The sequence below is a fragment of the Homo sapiens genome, chromosome 5, assembly GCF_000001405.40.
Source record: "Homo sapiens chromosome 5, GRCh38.p14 Primary Assembly".
NCBI classification, from domain to species: Eukaryota; Metazoa; Chordata; class Mammalia; order Primates; family Hominidae; genus Homo; species Homo sapiens.
In genome coordinates, this window is record NC_000005.10 from 20,721,595 (window position 1) to 20,738,610 (window position 17,016).

At 36.4% G+C, this 17,016-nt stretch overlaps 1 long non-coding RNA gene across 1 annotated transcript in view; it reads left to right on the top strand.

The window, feature by feature from the left end:
- LINC02241 (long intergenic non-protein coding RNA 2241) overlaps nucleotides 1-17,016 on the top strand; it is a 325,854-nt gene that overhangs the window by 109,755 nt on the left and 199,083 nt on the right. The window contains exon 4 of the long non-coding RNA NR_149120.1: nucleotides 15,361-15,507. This is a non-coding gene — a long non-coding RNA (long intergenic non-protein coding RNA 2241). The remainder of the gene's footprint in view (nucleotides 1-15,360; nucleotides 15,508-17,016) is intronic.

The window sequence follows — 17,016 nt, forward strand, 5'->3', positions numbered from 1 at the left end:
ATATTGACATTTTGTTCTACTAGATTTATGTCCCAGCTTTGGTCTGTGGTGTCCAGTTTAGCAAGTGTAAGCACCTACGTGATTTGCTCATTTTCTGACCAGAAATAAGACGGTACTTCAGATAAACATAATGTTAACCCATTTCAACAGACTCTAATACATCACTGGATAATCAGATCTTGCTAATTTCTTTTAATTTTGGGTGCCTAGGATCTCCTAGATGATGCAGAGAGAAATAGTGATTCTAGGTCAGTTTATTTTACTCTTTAACTTAATGAGATTAGTTCTATCATTTTATTTCTGAAGCAATGTTAAGTTTTAGTTGATGCAGTTTGTCAAGTAAAAAAAAAAAAAATTGTTTCTAGTAATCCAAACATTTTATACCAAGATCTGTATAGAACTTTATCAAAGGATATTTTCTATGATAGTTGAATTGATTGTATTTTTCCTTTTAATTGGTTAAAGTGGTTAAGTTCATTATTTCCTACTCTATCTATGAAGATCTCAAGGGTAATTTAGGGATTCTACTAATTTTGAGAGGGGAGGATAGGGTGATGAAATTTTGCTATGTTTTTTATGAAGTATACTTTAATGTGCTTAAAGAAATTGGGTAAAATACTTAAATTTACTTTTAATTATTTTTTAATATTCTATAATATTTTACTTTTAACTTACCACACTTCTCCAAAATGTATCATGATTACATAGAAAAATAAGTCCATGTGTGTATGTGTAAGTATATATAAACACACATATATGTATGCATATGTGTATATATACACACATATTTACATTCAAATATATGTATACATATGCTTATATATTATGAATACCTTCATATATAGAAATGTGTACAATATGTATATACAAACGTACTTAGATACATACAATATGTCTAAGCTTCATCATTTGGGAATCCTCCTTCAGGCTAACCCTTCTTAAAAATATTGTGTGACACTTAGAAGCCATGGTTTAGAATTTGAATAATCCCTAACATTGGTTTTGTTGATTACTAGTTTTGCAATCTTAGGCAAATTATTTAATTTTCTGGACCTTTTGTCTGTAAATTAGGAAGACACAGGTATGATGCATGTGTTGTGATGCTGAAAACAATGATGCTTGTGTTGTAACTAGCATAAGACTTTATACACAGGAAGTGCTCAAAAAAGTATTTTTTTCAAAAATTATGTAATGTGACTATTCAATACAAAAGGCACTCTATAAAATAAAATCGAATTGATCAATGTACCTCAAAGATTCAGCTGTGTGGGTAATTATTTCTCAGTTTTTCTTTTGGTGATTTTATTTATTTTAAATTCACACCAAAAAAATTCATGACGGGAAAAGTAAAATTGTCCCTGCCAACATCATAGAATTCAAGTGAGAGATTAATTATGTCATATATAAAGCATCACTTTGAACTTCAGAAAGTTAATTAAATTTAAATTAAAAAAAAAACAAATACTCAAACCTTTCTAGGTTTCAAGTTTCTATCTAAGCTATAAGAAAAAGTTACAATATAGTTACTCATATGTTAAAGTACATGAGTCAATGATAGTGATATTTTTCTGTAATTTATGGAGTAATTATTTTATATGTTGTATATATTATTATCTGTATATAAGGTAATAGGTACCAGGTGGAAAAAAAATAGTGTTCGTGTTAGTATTACTATGCTTGTTAAGATAATTTTAATTCAAAATCTATTAAGCACCACATATTATTTTACCAGGGCTGCCACAACAAAATACAAGAGACTGGATGGCTTAAACATCAGCAATGTATTTTCCCACAGTTCTGGAGTTGGGAAATCTGACATCAAGGTGTCAGCGGGTTTGGTTTTTGCTGAGGCCTCTCCTTGGCTTGCAGATGGCTGCCTTCTTGCTGTGTGTTCACATGATTGTCTCTTAGTGTGTGCATTTGTCTGGTGTCTCTGTCTGTCTTAATCTCTTTTTAAAAGGACACCAGATATATTGGATTAGAACTCATCTTATTGACCTAATTTTTACTTAATTGCTTCTTTAAATATCTTGTCTCCAAATGGGTTGCATTCTGTGGTACTCAGATTTAGGGATTCAATATATGAATTGGGGGGAACACAAATCAGCCAATATCACATGAATTCTTTTTCTAGCAAAGAAAGCATCCATTCTATTAGGAGTCTTCCTTTACTTAATAGAAAACCAGCAGAACAGTACCATGTTTATACAAATGTAAATTAATTTACTTATTCCTGTATGAGAGCACTCATATGTGTGTGCATGTGAAAACAAAAGTCATAAAGTCACTGTATATCTGAACACATGAATTTTAGTATACTTTTAAGAGGATTGGCTTTCAAAGACTTAGAAAATCATTTTAAGTTTTCAAATGGAGTTAGACTAGACTGCTGGTTGCCCACATATAGTGTTTTGTATTTTGTGATGAATTATTTCAGACTTTGAAAAGATACTGTGATATTCTCTGGGAGACCTGGAGATTGAATGATCCACAGCAGATAGGAGAGAGGACTTCACACATAAATAAATGGATACGTGTGCTGTGTCTAACTTTTGAGTGGTAACAATCCTTGAATTTGAAGGAAGACGACATTTTCATGACTATTGAAGCTTTTGTAATCAGGACGAAGAAATGAAGAATCTGGTGAACTAAGGCATTAAAGTTAAAATAAAAACAGAAAATTTTGATAGATTGTGATTAAGTAGACCTTGAACATATGAAAACTTTCAGGGATCCTGATATTTGTCTTGGACCTTTGGGCCCTGAAAGTAATCACCTTTGTTACTAGGGGAAGTCACTTTTTTTTTTTTAATTATACTTTAAGTTCTAGGGTACATGTGCACAACGTGGAAGTTTGATAAATAGGTATACCTGTGCCGTGTTGGTTTGCTGCACCCATCAACTCGTCATTTACATTGGGTATTTCTCCTAATGCTATCCCTCCCCCAGGCCCCCACCCCCCAACAGGATCTGGTGTATGATGTTCCCCACCCTGTGTCCAAGTGATTTCCTTGTTCAATTCTCACCTATGAGAGAACATGCAGTGTTTGGTTTTCTGTCCTTGTGATACTTTGCTGAGAATCATGGCTTCCAGCTTCATCCATGTCCCTGCAAAGGACATGAACTCATCCTTTTTTATGGCTGCATAGTATTCCATGGTGTCTATGTGCCACATTTTCTTAATCCAGTCTATCATTGATGGACATCTGGGTTGGTTCCAAGTCTTTGCTATTGTGAATAGTGTTGCAATAAACGTGTGCACGTGTCTTTATAGTAGCATGATTTATAATCTTTTGAGTATATACCCAGTAATGTGATTGCTGAGTCAAATGGTATTTCTAGTTCTAGATTCTTGAGGCATCACCACACTCTCTTCCACATGGTTGAACTAATTTACACTCCCACCAACAGTGTAAAATTGTTCCTATTTCTCCACATCCAGCATCTGTTGTTTCCTGACTTATTAATGATTGCCATTCTAACTGGCGTGAGATGGTATCTCATTGTGGTTTTGATTTGCATTTCTCTGATGACTAGTGACAATGAGCATTTTTTCATGTGTCTGTTGGCTGCATAAATGTCTTCTTTTGAGAAGTGTCTGTTCATTTCCTTTGCCCACTTTTGGATGGGGTTGTTTGTTTTTTTCTTGTAAATTGGTTTGTGTTCATTGTAGATTCTGTCACATGGGTAGATTGCAAAAATGTTCTCCCATTCTGTAGGTTACCTGTTAACACTCTGATGGTGGTTTCTTTTGCCATGCAGAAGCTCTTTAGTTTAATTAGATCCCATTTGTCAATTTTGGCTTTTGTTGCCATTGCTTTTGGTGTTTTAGTCATGAAGTCCTTGCCCATGCCTATGTCCTGAATGTTATTGCCTAGGTTTTCTTCTAGGGTTTTTATGGTTTTAGGTCTAACATTTAAGTCTTTAATCCATCTTGAATTAATTTTTGTATAAGGTGTAAGGAAGGGATCCAGTTTCAGCTTTCTACACATGGGTTGCTAGTTTTCCCAGCACCATTTATTAAATAGGGAATCCTTTCCCTATTTCTTGTTTTTGTCAGGTTTGTCAAAGATCAGATGGTTGTAGATGTGTGGTATGATTTCTGAGGGCTCTGTTCTGTTCCATTGATCTATATCTCTGTTTTGGAACCAGTACCATGCTGTTTTGTTTACCGCAGCCTTGTAGTATAGTTTAAAGTTGGGTAGCATGATGCCTCCAACTTTGTTTTTTGTTTGTTTGTTTTGTTTTGTTTTTGCTTAGGATTGTCTTGGCAATGCAGGTTCCTTTTTGGTTTCATATGAACTTTAAAGTAGTTTTTTCCAATCCTGTGAAGAAAGTCATTGGTATTTTGAGCCTACCAACCAAAAAAAGTCCAGGACCAGACAGATTCACAGCTGAATTCTACCAGAGGTACAAAGAGGAGCTGTTACCATTCCTTCTGAAACTATTCCAATCAATAGAAAAAGAGGGAATCCTCCCTAGCTCATTTTATGAGGCCAACCTCATCCTGACACCAAAGCCTGGCAGAGACGAAACAAAAAAAAAAGAGAATTTTAGACCAATATCCCTGATGAACATCAATGCAAAAATCCTCAATAAAATACTGGCAAACTGAATCCAGCAGCACATCAAAAAGCTTATCCACCACAATAAGGTCGGCTTCATCCCTGGGATGCAAGGCTGGTTCAACATACACAAATCAATAAACATAATCCATCACATAAACAGAACCAATGACAAAAACCACGATTATCTCAATAGATGCAGAAAAGGCCTTCAACAAAATTCAATAGCCCTTCATGCTAAAAACTTTCAATAAACTAGGTTATTGATAGAACGTAACTAAAAATAGTAAGAGCTATTTGTGACAAACCCACAGCCAATATCACACTGAATGGGCAAAAACTGGAAGCATTCCCTTTGAAAACCGGCACAAGACAAGGATGCCCTCTCTCACCACTCCTATTTAACATAGTGTTGGAAGTGCTGGCCAGGGCAATCAGGCAAGAGAAAGAAATAAAGGGTATTCAATTAGGAAAAGAGGAAGCAAATTGTCCCTGTTTGCAGATGACATGGTTGTATATTTAGAAAACTTCATCGTCTCAGCCCACAATCTCCTTAAGTTGATAAGCAACTTCAGCAAAGTCTCAGGATACAAAATCAATATGCAAAAATCACAGGCATTCCTATACACCAATAACAGACAAACAGAGAGCCAAATCATGAGTAAACTCCCATTCACAATTGCTACGAAGAGAGTAAAATACCTAGGAATCCAACTTACAAGGGATGTGAAGGATCTCTTCAAGGAAGCCACTTTCTGTATTGTACTTCGCTTAATACTTAAGCCTCCAGGAAAGTTTTGTTAGATATTGCAGCCAGGTCTAGGCTAAGTATTTTAAATTTTTTGTTTTTATTTTATTTGATTATAAGCGGTATTCTGATCAGTGACAGAAGCGACTTGGGTCCACCTTTAACAGAACGTTGGTGTAGAGCAAATCAGCACAATCTTCTCCTCTATGAACATGTGTGTTGACTCATGCATACTCAAGAAACCCTGTGAAGCAGCCTTGAAAAGAGATTTTTCTGGCCAAGGTGATAAGCAAATACTTGTATAGATGTTATGACTGTGCAAATGGTTTGCAAGGAGACCTCAGAAATGACTTGCAGAAGAGAATTTTGAAAAAAAAATTTAATTGGCTCTAACACAATAGAAAGCCAGTCATTAATTGTAATAACTCTCTAGTGTTGATACTCTAAGGTATGAGCATACCTCAGAATTAGGACCAGTTCATATTATACTAAAAAATAAATATTGTCTTAAATGATATGGTGTTATTAGGTCACATTAAAATGAGGAACACTCATTTTGCTTCTATTATAATTATCATCAAGTCATTCACAGCTAAAATATCTGGAATTGGTTCATACAGCTATTTACATTAGTCACCAAACACTCACTCATTTGGATAGTCAGCTGGGCTAAAGAAAAATATGTATTATAAAGATTACCTTAATTATTGAAAACACATCCTGGAGTATTTCTGCTTTCGTGAAACAAACAGCCAATAAAAAGTTTCTGGATTTTGAAAGGCCCAATTCACTATGGTATTGTAGTCCATAGAGAAAAGAAGCCCCTGGCATTTCATTCTTTATCATAATTATGTTGCATTTCAATTATTATTCTAATTAATCATTACACAGGCACTTCAGGCTTTGCTATGATGGTAGAATTGATTTCCACATTGCTTTGATGTCCCATGAATATGACCTTGTCAGTGTAACTCTAACCTTGAGATGCCTCTTTGTTTCCTTTTAGTAACTAGAGACTAAATCCCTCAGACACATTCTGGAATCTGATGCTCTATATGTCTAATGTGTTAGAAGCTCCATTAGGATGTAACAAGATTTTAGCCACATTCCCCGCAGCACTGTGGGGTACTGCTGCTTCATGAGATTTTTCTCTAAAGTAACCTTTCAAAGTCAGCCACAAAACCTCTTATTCTAGATCATACTGGCATCTGACCTTTGTAAACTTAAAAGAAAAAATAGGAAGAAGAAAGATGCTAAGGGAGACACAGTTATCTTTTTCAAAATGCAGCTAAACCCACAAGCTACAGAGATATCATGACCTATAAAGTTCAGAGCTGTGATGATTCTTTCTAACAATTACCCACAGCTATTATGATTTCCTCCCATCACTAAAACTGTCATTGCTAAGATAATTGCTCCAGTTTGAGAAGGTAGAAGATTTAACAAGTAACTAATATGTAAAGGATAGAGAGAAGAAGGGGAGAGGTTGATATGATCCCTGTCCTTTCACACTGTTAATATGCCAGGTGATAAAATGTCTCATTCACTCCGAAACATTATCACTATACAGGCACTCCTTACAGTGTTTGTTCTCATATATGTCCTCATATTTTTTTTTCCTTTTAAAGTGGCTCTGAGAAATGGCTAATGCACAATCTAATTATGTGATAATAAATGTTAATGACAGTATTATCAGATGATAACTAGGCTTCATTAATGTGTCTCATTATGATTCTCAGTCCCTTGTGGAAGATTGTGAAGAAAGGACCTTAGATATTCCAGATTATATTTGAATGTAGTAGTTACAGAGCCCATATCCAGGGAGAAAGGAAGATATCAGAGACACCTTTAGCTCTTTCTCTAATTTTGCTTCTTCAAACCTAAGCATCCATCAATCACATCTCAAAATTTATCATATACCTTCAGCATAATAAAAATAGTAACTATAGTAATAGTAATAGTCCTGATATGACAAATAATATGTAAGATCATTTTAATTGTAACTGCTGATATATTTTGGTATAAGTATACAGGCATTTATGTCCCAAACATTATGACCTTGATTATCCATAACAAGTTTAAATCATTTAGAGAGGATACACTTATTTAAAGGTTTGCACCTGTTAAATTTTGGTTCTGCTACACCATATATATATATATATATATATATATATATTTTTTTTTTTTTTTTTTTTTTTTGAAATGGAGTCTCCCTCTGTTGCCCAGGCTGGAGTGCAGTGGCACAATCTCAGCTCACCGTAACCTCCGCCTCCTGGGTTCAAGTGATTCTCCTGCCTCAGCCTCTCAAGTAGCTTGGATTACAGGCATCTGTCAACACGCCCGGCTAATTTTGTATTTTTAGTAGAGACAGGTTTCTCCATGTTGGTCAGGCTGGTCTTAAACTCCCGACCTCAGGTGATCCACCCACCTCAGCCTCCCAAAGTGCTGGGATTACAGGCATGAGCCACTGCACCCAGCCAGCTACACTATTCTTAACATTCAAAGTAGCACTGTCAAGTTATCACCAAGATTTCATCACAATTTTTATTATTTTTCTATATTTACCCTCTATTTTAACTATGTAAATTTATCAAATGTTTTAATATTTGAGAGGGCAAATCTACTATCACCGATATTTAATGTTTTGTATTTTTTCTTAATTATTATATTTTTTAAATTGACGTGATAATTGTACATATTTATGGGGTATGTAGTGATATTTCGATACATACAATGAATAATTAACAGATTCGTGTAATTCTCGTATCCATCATGTCAAAATTTATCATTTCTTTGTGATGGGAACATTCAGTATACCCCTTCTAGCAATTTGAAACTATATTATTGTCAACTACAGTCATCCCACAATGCTATAGAACACTAGAACTTATTTGTCTCTAGCTGTAATTTTGTATCCCTTGACAAATCTCTCTTTATCCTTCTCTCATCCCACCCTTCCCTGTCTCTAGTATATTCCATTCTACTTTTTCCTCCTCTGAGATCAACTTTTTTTTAGTTTCCACATATGAGTGAGAACATGCAGTGTTTAACTTTCTGTTCTTAGCTTATTTTACGTAACATAATGTCCTCTTGATTTGTCGAAGCTGCTTCTTATAGTTTCTATTAGAAATATGTGTGTGTGCGCCTGTGTGTGTATAATGTAGGATATTTTAGGTAAACAACTAAATAGTTGTAAATGAGGCTGAACTGTTTTTAAGGTTTTATTTGTGACTAATAATTTGTCTTATTAATAAAGCCTAGGTTAAAAAAATAAGTGGAAGACATATCTGTCACACACTATATCTTGGGAGTTTTGAAAAATAAAGTGTTGATTTCAGGCAAAATACTTAGTTCAACTGTAACTAAATCAGCAAAGATGTCATGATTCCATAAGGGAGCCACTCTAAATATAATGTTAAATGGAATATTTCATTATATTTTAGAAGTAGGGACTACTAGTTTGACATTTATGTTTTTGAGTATATGTGGTTGCATTCTTATATCTAATAAAATATTCAGTTGTCTTAAACTTAACATTCTTAAGGCCTAGGGCAAGGATAATAATCAAAACCTATATAGTGTATGTTTGCATATTTAAAAGTTATAAATCAAGTTAACAAACTGTTAAAATAAAGTATGCTGTGTTCTCTCACTTTGACACATATACCTTCTCAATGAAATTCAGGTTTGGAACTAGAATTCTTGGGCCGTCAACATCCAGCACAGAATATGAGGACATAGAGAGAGCCGGTGCCCTGACCTGGTCTCACACCGTGAGAGGCCTTGTGTTTATACGTTTTGGGTACCTCTGTTGATATGTTGAAACTCAGTCTACCACTGTAGCTCTAGCAAAAAGCTTCCCATTGGCCCACAGGGCCTCTAGTTGTGCACTCTGTATACGTGGTTCACCATGAAAGACAGAACTGGTGGAGAGGAACATGGATGCTGGAAGCAGTCTCAAAACCCTTTGAAGACAGAATTCTAAGTCTTTATGTTCTACAGCATGATCTCAAAGGTGGTAGGTGGGGGTGAGCAGCATCACCTCCAACTAACCTCATCCCCTTGGACCTGGTAAACTCCTTGTACTTTGGGGAGGAATGTGGCCAGAGAGAGGACCATAGTGGAGCCCTTGAAAGCACAGGCTCCAGGGCAAAGTGTTCTTTTGCTCAATTATATGGGCATTCTTCTTATGGGTGTAGTTATTTGCTTATTGCTATGTAATGATTTGGATTTAATAATGCTATATTGAAAGTGCAATGGCCTACAGAACTGAGGGATCACGTTTTAGCTTAAATTCAATAGAAAAAAATGACTCCTTTATAAAAAAAAGTATTTAAATTTGTAAGTTGTCATCCCTATCCACTAAGGGATATTAAATGTATTAAATGCTGGGAAATATATATGCACATATATATTTATATATGTATGTATGTATGTGTGTGTGTGTATATATATATAATAGTGATCAGAGAAAAAGACAAATGAAGACAAACAGCAATGAGGATAAAAATAGTCCAAACATATGAACTCCCAGATGCCATTTTGGAGGAAAATAAAAATTTCAATAGAAATCAATAGATAAGGAACAGATATTTAAGAAAATGTGCTTGGAACAAGTGCACATAAAATAACTAAAATTTAGTATAATGGTCATGAAGGAAAAAAATATGCATGAAAACAAGACATTATGGAATATGAGAAAATTAGATGCTGAAGAAAATAATTGATTGGACTAAAATTATTCCATTAGGCACTCTGATTAATACTCATTATTTAGTGGGGAGAAATATAGAGGTTGTTATTAGAAGACCCAATAGGCCCACTATAACCTTTATATATCATTATATATAATTATATTGATCAATTTTACAGCTTCCAGTTTAAATAAAGGTTCATTCAGTCTCAGTAGATGCATTTTCTATATATTATAGGTATCTGTATATAATTACATATATGTGTATATATATTATATTGAATATTGACAGATTATAATCACTTACATTTATAGGGTATAGAGTTATGCTTTAATATATGCATCCAATTTGGAATGACTAAATCAAGTTCATACCCATCGCCTCTAATAATTACCATTTATTTCTCCTGTCTCACAGAAACATTGCACTCTTTCAACAATATCTCTTCATTCCTCTCACTCCTAAATCTCTGGTAACTATTCTGTTCTCTACGTCTAGAATTCAACTATTATAGAGTCCACATAAAAGTGAGAACATATGGTATTTGTCTTTCTGTGCCTGGCTTATTTCACTTAGCATAATGTCTTTGTATTAGTCCTTTTACACACTGCTATAAAGAACTACCTGAGACTGGGTAATTTGTAAAGAAAAGAGGTTTAATTGACACACAGTTCCTGAGGCTGGAGAGGCCTCAGGAAATGTACAATCATGGCAAAAGACAAAGGGGAAGCAAGACACATCTTATATGGTGGCAGGAGAGAAAGAGTATGAAGGGGGAAGTGCCACCAGATCTTATGAGAACTCACTCACTATCACAAGAACAGAAAAGGGGAAGTGTGCCCCCATGATTCAATTACCTCTCACCAGGCCCCTCCCCCAACATGTTAGAATTACAATTTGTGATAAGATTTGGGCAGGGACGCAGAGCCAAACCATATTGTTCTGCCCCTGACCCCTTTAAAATATCATGTTCTTCTCACTTTTCAAAGCCAATCATGCCTTCCCAAGAGTTCCCCAAAGTCTTAACTCATTCCAGCATTAAACCAAAAGTCCAGTCCAAAATATTTCTGAGACAAACAAGTCCCTTCCACCTATGAGCCTGTAAAATTAAAAACAGATTAGTTACAATGGGGTTACAGGCGTTGGGTAAATACTCCTGTTCCAAAAGGGAGAAATTGGTCAAAACAAAGGGGCTATGGGCCCCATCCAAATCCAAAACCCAGCAGGACAGTCATTAAGTCTCAAAGCTCTGAAATAATCTCCTTTGACTCCATGTCTCACATCCAGGGAATGCTGATGCAACAAGTGGGCTCTCAAGGCCTTAGGCAATTCTACTCTTGTGTCTCTGCAAGATACAGCCCCTTTGATTGCTTTCATGGATTGGCATTGAGTGCCGACAGCTTTTCCAGGCAGCCAGGGCGAGCTATCGGTGAATTTATCATTCTGGGTTCTATAGGACTGTGGCCCTCTTCTCACAGCTCCCCTAGGCAGTGCCCCAGTAGGAACTCTGTGTGAGGGCTCCAACCCACATTTCTCCTGTGCACTGCCCTCATAGAGGTTTCCATGACAGCTCCATTCCTGCAGCACACTTCTGCCTGGATATCCAGGCACTTCCCTATATTATCTGAAATCTAGGTGGAGGTTCCTAAACCTCAATTCTTGTCTTCTGCACACCTGCAGGCCCAGCAGTATGTGGAAGTTGCCAAGGCTTGGGGCTCGCACCCTCTGAAGCAGTGGTCTGAGCCATGGCTGGAGCTGGAGCTGCTGGGACACAGGTCTTCACGTCCCAAGGCTGTGAGGACCTGGGCCCAACCCAAGAAACAATTTTTCCCTTCTAGGCCTTTAGGACTGTGATGGGAGGTGCTGCCGTGAAGATCTCTGAAATGCCCTGAGGACTTTTTCCTCATTTTCTTGGAGATTAACATCAGGATCCTCTTGATTTATGCAAATTTATGCAGCCAGCCTGAATTTCTCCCCAGAAAATGGGTTTTTATTTTTTTAACCACATGGTCAAGTTGCAAATTTTCCAAACTTTTAATGTCTTCTTTCCTTTTAAACATAAATTCCAATTTCAAACCATCTCTTTGTGAATGCATGTGACTGTACACTTTTAGAAACTGCCAGGTCAGGGCGTGGTGGTGCATGCCTGTAATCCCAGCTACTTGAGAGGCTGAGGCAGGAGAATCGCTTGAACCTGGGAGGTAGAGGTTGCAGTGAGCCAAAATCACACCACTGCACTCCAGTCTGGGTGACAGAGTGAGACTCCATCTCAAAAAAAAAAAAAAAAAAGGAAAAGAAAAAGAAACCACCAGGTCAAATCTTGAATGCCTTTCTGCTTACAAATTTCTTCTGCCAGATGCCCTAACTTATCTCTCTCAAGTTCAAAGTTTAACAGATCTCTAGGAGAGGGGCAAAATGTCACCAGTCTCTTTGCTAAAGCATAGAAAGAGTGACCTTTACTACAGTTCACAATAAGTTCCTCATCTCTATCTGAGACTACCTCAGCCGGGACTTTATTGTCCATATCACTATCAACATTTTGATCAAAACTATTCAACAAGTCTCTAGGAAGTTCCAAACTTTCCCATATCTTCCTGTCTTCTTCTGAGCCCTCCAAACTCTCCCAACCTCTGCCCGTTACCCAGTTCCAAAGTCACTTCCACATTTTCAGGTATCTTTGTAGCAGTGCCACACTTTCCCGGTACCAGTTTTCTGTATTAGTCCATTTTCACATTGCTATGAAGAACTACCTGAGACTGGGTAACTTATAAAAAAAAGAAGTTTTAATTGACTCATAGTTCATGGCTGGAGAGGACTCAGGAAGGTTACAATCATGGCGGAAGGCAAAGAGAAAGCAAGGTACATAGTGACAGGAGAGAGCACAAAACGGGAAGTGCCACACACATTCAAATAATTAGATCTCGTGAGAACTCTATCGCTATCATGCTAACAGCCAGGGGGATGTCCGCCCCCCTGATTCAATCACGTCCCATCAGGCTCCACCCCTGACATGTGGGGATTACAATTCTAGATGAGATTTGAGTGGGGACACAGGGCCAAAGCATATTGGTCTTCCAGGTTTATTCATTTTGTTGCAGATGACAGAATTTCCCTCTCTTAATGCTGAATAATATTCCATTGTATATATATACCACCTTTTCTTTATTCATTCATCTCTGATGGACACTTGGTTGATTCCGTAACTTGGCTGTTATGAATGATACTTCAATATCTGAAGTGCAGATATCTCTTCATCATGCTGATTTCATGTATTTTAGACATACACTCAGAAATCAGATTGCTGGATCATATGGTAATTTAATTTTTAGCTTCTTGAGGAACCTCCATGCAGTTTTCTGTAGTGGTTGTACTATTTACAGTTTCACACACAAAATACAAGCTTTCCCTTTTCTCCACATCCTCCCTAATACTTGTAATCTGCATTTTGTATATTTTTAATTTTCTGAGTTAAATAAAATGTATTTAATGCAGTAAATATATATTTGGATCAGATGATCACTTCAGAGCTATTGCCACCAAGGTTCTTATGCAAGACTCTTCTTGATAAGGTAGATTGCAGAAGTAACAAAAGAGGTTTCAATAAACATAACTTTGGCTGTGTGTACTTCCTATTACTCCAGCAATGCATAATGGAGGTAAATATTAGGACTTCATGTGGATAATTTATAGAATGGAAATTTGATGTATTTATATCCAATCCATTTCTAAGTATGAGATATTGTAGGCAAACATTTACTTTCTGTCTGAGTAGAACATTTCTCGCTGACAAGGGAGATGATTTTTATGTCGTTATTTGCATTTGCACAAGAACACTCTCTTTTCTTTATCAAGATGTTCTTGATCCTGTGTAAAATATTTTCAGAAAAATTAAAGAGAAATTAAGCTTAGACAATTCCCTCTTATACACCTGAAGCAAGCCCCTTGACACTCAAATAGTCACATAATAATTCTTTCTTCTTTTTGTGGAAAAAGCCTATAATAAAAGCTAAGTAAATTTAGTATTGACTATTAAAGTCAAGAAAGTCACAACAAATATTGTGTTTACCATTCTCCACAAAACCTATTTTATTTATTACAATATAAGAAATATGAAATGCATATATCTCTCGTGTGAAATAATTTTTAAATTTTTCTGTTGAATATTTCATGTCATTAATAGAAGTGAAACCTTTTAAAAATATATAAAAGGATGTAATCACTGTTCCTTCGTTTTGATTCATGAATGTTTAGAAATGTGCAGACAATGTGCTGTACTTTTGCAGAACACAGTAGGTCACATGCAAAACCAGTGGTCACTTGCCCTCCAACAGTGAGGTTCTGAAACTCCTCACAACTCTACATAAGAAAATTTCCCCAGAAAAATGTGAAACTCAGTGTGTTAAGATATAATATGATGCAATTTTTTTTGAATAGGAAATAGATAAGCATTGTAATAATTCAATGTTTGATCTCTTAGTTTTATAAAATGTATACTTTGTTAATTATTTTAAAATACTAAAAAATAGAAGTTACCTCTGCTTTTGGCAGGTACCTCATATAACTTATTGTTGAAGATATGAGAAGTAAATGGAGAAATATTATAAAATTTCCTTAGCTTATATGCATGGACCCTTGGGTTATATTCCTGAGAGCTTGCTGGAGCTGTGGAGGTTACGTATACAACATTTAGTGAGAGAGATGCTTAGCAATTTGTCATCTGGCCAACCCACTCATCACCCATCTCATTTTGCTGATGAAGATAGCTGAATTCCACCTTTTGTGGCTTTAAAAATGACTCAAAGGTAGAGAAGTTTTGTCATGCTTGCCTTCTCTTTCCTTTCCTTCCTCTCTCCATCACCTCTTGGAGTCAGAAAGGATAGAGGTGAGGCTGAGAGATTTGAGTCCATTTCCTCCCCTTCCTTGCCTTGTAATGGAGAGGGCCAACCTGAGAGTGGTGTACAGGAGATATCAAATCTCTATAGCATAAACCCATTTTTAGGATTCATGAAACTATAACAATTTAGTGGAGAATCAATCACTTTTGTAGAAGAACTTCTCATTTCTTTCCCCAAATTAGGTCAGATTACTTAAAACAAAAACTATTTGAGGAAGTCTTCCTCACTTGTCCTTGAATATAAAGACTGCTTAAAACAAAACAAAAATCCTAATCTGGTGATATAATTTGGATATGTGACCTCACCCAAATCTCATGTTGAACTGTAATCCCCAATGTTGGAGGTGGAGTGTGGTGGGAGGTGATTGGATCATGGGGGTGGATCCCTCATGAATACCATCCCCTTGGTGCTGTTCTTGTGATAGTGAGTGAATTCTCACAAGATCTCATTGTTTACAGGTGCGTAGTGCCTCCGCCCATCTCTCTCTTGCTCCTGGTCTCATCGTGACGGGCCTGGTCCTGCCTCACTTTATGCCACGACTAAGAGCTCCCTGAGGCCTCTCCAGAAGCAGATATCACTATGCTTCCTACACAGCCTGCAGAACCGTGAGCCAATTAAACATCTCTTCTTATAAGTTACCTAGTCTCAGGTATTTCTTTATAGCAGTGCAACAACAGCCTAATACATCTGGCAATGTTTTTGGATGTGATTATAGATAAAAATAAATCTAAAAAGTTTACCAGCTTTCCGGGGATCTAGCCATCTTTATACAAAGGGCTTCAAAAATAAACTAATTAATAAAAGGATGGCTAATCATTAGAACAACATTTCAGTATCTGTGTGGGTGTTATATTTTATCTGTTAGTAAATATTTTATAATAAGGGAGCATGTTTCTTTCTGACTTGACATTAAAGTACCTATACATCTGTTAAAAAGTGCTTTGACCTTTAGCAATGTGGTATGATCAACGATATTATAAGCTGATTTAGGTTAAAAAAAGGACACATGGGCTTATCAGTTTTAGAAGTAGACATCTGTATGCAAAAAAAAATGTATTTCTGTATTTCAAGCACAAAATTAGGAACACTTAATTTTTCCTTTGGAAAAAAATTAAACACATAGACTTGCATACATATACCACTCATACAGAAACACCTATTTTTTGAAGCTTTGCTTTAAAACATAACATTTTAGAAATAAAATTGTGGATAGAAAGAGACAAGTGTTTAGTATGAAAAAAATTGCAGCATTTATCAATTAGAATATACTCATTAATTTGGCAAAGCCAAATGTGATTACAAATTAAACTGTGTCTTAAACCAGTAATTTTCATTTGTAGCATTTAAAGCACAAAGAAAAAAAAAAGCATATCTGTTCTGCTGTCCTGGAAATTGGGAGTACAACATAATCATTGACAACATGAAGAGAATATAGATCAGGGTGTAGAGTAGTTAAGTAAGATTTTTCTGAGAATAAAATATTGAAGACAAAAAAGAGCCTGTTTTAATCTATTCCTGTGACCTCAATTTCTGAGATGACATGCAAGGAACTAAAATACACACACCTCATGTTTGCTGAAAATCTGATATTATTTATATGTATATATGTTTATGTAGATATAGATATGGATGCATGCATGTATGTATGTGCATCCATATACACACAGGCCCAGATCAAGTCCAACACCAACAGGGCAATATATATCAAATTGTAAGGGCTGCAGCTCTCCAGTGCTGAAATCTGGGTTCATGGAGGCAGCCTTGCCCCCATGGCTCTGCTGGCATTACCTTAGTTGGTGCTCTCTGTGATAGCCTGTCCCCATGGCAGTTCTCTGAAGTGGGCCCATCCCTATGGCAGTTCTCTGCCTGGACCTTCTTCTAGCTCTCTCAGGGCATCCTTTGAAATCTAGTCACATCCCCTCTGCTTTCCTGGGTGAAATACACACTTCGCTAAGGCTGCTGATTTCACTGGTGGGGTGACTGAGGAGGAGAACTGCAGAGTGCGGGGAGTGGAGACTGCAATGTGAGGAGGCTGTTATAATCAGTGGTGGTCTCTCTTTTGATAAACTTCTGCCCCCCAGACCCTGGAATTCTGGGCTCGTGATGGGAATGGC